A 1,632-nucleotide genomic window follows, 5' to 3' on the forward strand; every position below is an offset into this window, starting at 1 on the left:
AGTTATTACAGTCCAGGTCAGGTATGAGCCCCAGAGGCATGTTCTGGGTGGTGAGGAAGAGGACAGGTAGGAGTGACGAGAGTCTGAGCTTTCACGAGGAGCCTAAGAACCCTGGCTACAGGAGCAGGGGCTTGGAATAGAGGCCCAAAGCAGAAGGCAGAGCTCTGAATGTGGCTTCTTATTGGTGGTTCCATCTTCAGAATGCCATTCTGTGACTGTGCCTTGGAACCGGAATTGGGCACCAGTTGTCACCATGGGCCCTGTTGCACCAGGCAGGCTGCCGCTGGCCGCTGAGTGACCACTTGGTCCACTGCAGCCTCATGCGCCATTCAGCAATATCATTCCTTCCATGCCTTCCACCTGTAGAGACAGAAGGGGCGAGCCAGGAGCAGGGCTCTCCCAAGGCCTCCTTAGTGGCTGTGAGAAATTCGCTGATCTTGTTGGACGTGTCTTGCCAGAGTCTTCTTTCCCTTTGAAACTAAACTTGCTCTATTTTTAGAAAGCACAGAATAGCAGAGAGAACACAGGGTCTGGGGCAGGCAACTCTAAGATTGGAGTCTGTCTCTACTACTGATTACCTGTGTATCCTTGGGAAGTTATTTACCTTCTTTGAGCCTCAGCTTTTTGGTCTGTAAAATGGGGATAGCAAAGCTTACCCCATGAGATAAATATGAGAAAACATTCACAGGTGCATACAGCACAGTGCTTGTTCAATAGCGGGAAATCAAATCAAATGGTTTGGGAAGAGAAGTATGCAGAGCACATAGGGGCTGCCTCAGAGGTGGGTTCTTCAACCACACAGGTGTTGTGGATAGGATCCAGGGCTTCAGGGATGAGAAGCGGGGATTTGGCAGAGAAAGCTGTGGCTGATGTTTCTGGGAGGCAGATTTTGATTCCACACAATGAAAAATTTTCTGCCTTTCAGAGCTTTCCTGAACAAAGTTGCTTTCCTATGGAGGAGGTGAGTTTCTTGTCCTTAGAGGTGTTCAAGCAAAGCCAGAATGGCCACTTGGTGGGGATGTTGCAGAGGGGATAAAATATCAGGGCGATGCTTGCAAGAGAAGATTGCTAAGGTCCTTTCTAATCCCTGGGAATTAACATTTAAGAGAAATCTGAATGTAACAGATATGACATAAATACATGACAGCACTTTCTTAGCTGCAAGTCAGTGTGAGGAAAGGGGTGGTCATTGGATTTCCAAAGGCTGGGGTTTGAAGGCACTGCTGATTTAGGAAGGAGGTGGAGCCACAGCTCACATTTGAAGGGACCTCCTGCAGCTACAGAAATTACTCTTTGGAATAGACAAAGGACATATTGCAGGCAACCTGTGGTTTGTAGCATAGCTGGGGAAATCAGCATCCCAGGAATGGTTGTTACCCACCACTTGGACAGGAAATGTCACAGACAAAGCCTTGTTTTCTGCTGCAGGAATTAAAGTTCAGAGGCAGCTGCAAGAAAATCAATACCAAGCTGCTAAACCCTTAATGAACGACAGCAAAAGGCTGATGGTGTTGCCTAAAACAGCTTTTTTAAAGCTGCTTGTCTGGGGTGAGAGTGTTAACAATAATTGATTGAGCTCCTATGAGGTGTGGTTTCCAGGGTGCAGCTGCGCAATGTAGGGAAATGCATGTT

At 47.5% G+C, this 1,632-nt stretch overlaps 1 annotated feature.

Moving 5' to 3' along the window:
* Positions 286-922: an enhancer, noted in NCBI's record as "H3K27ac-H3K4me1 hESC enhancer chr20:40517268-40517904 (GRCh37/hg19 assembly coordinates)". NCBI's record gives its function as "activates a minimal SCP1, AML or CMV promoter by ChIP-STARR-seq in primed H9 embryonic stem cells {active_cell/tissue: H9 hESC(primed)}" and the evidence as "EXISTENCE:reporter gene assay evidence [ECO:0000049][PMID:30033119]".

The sequence above is a fragment of the Homo sapiens genome, chromosome 20, assembly GCF_000001405.40.
Source record: "Homo sapiens chromosome 20, GRCh38.p14 Primary Assembly".
NCBI classification, from domain to species: Eukaryota; Metazoa; Chordata; class Mammalia; order Primates; family Hominidae; genus Homo; species Homo sapiens.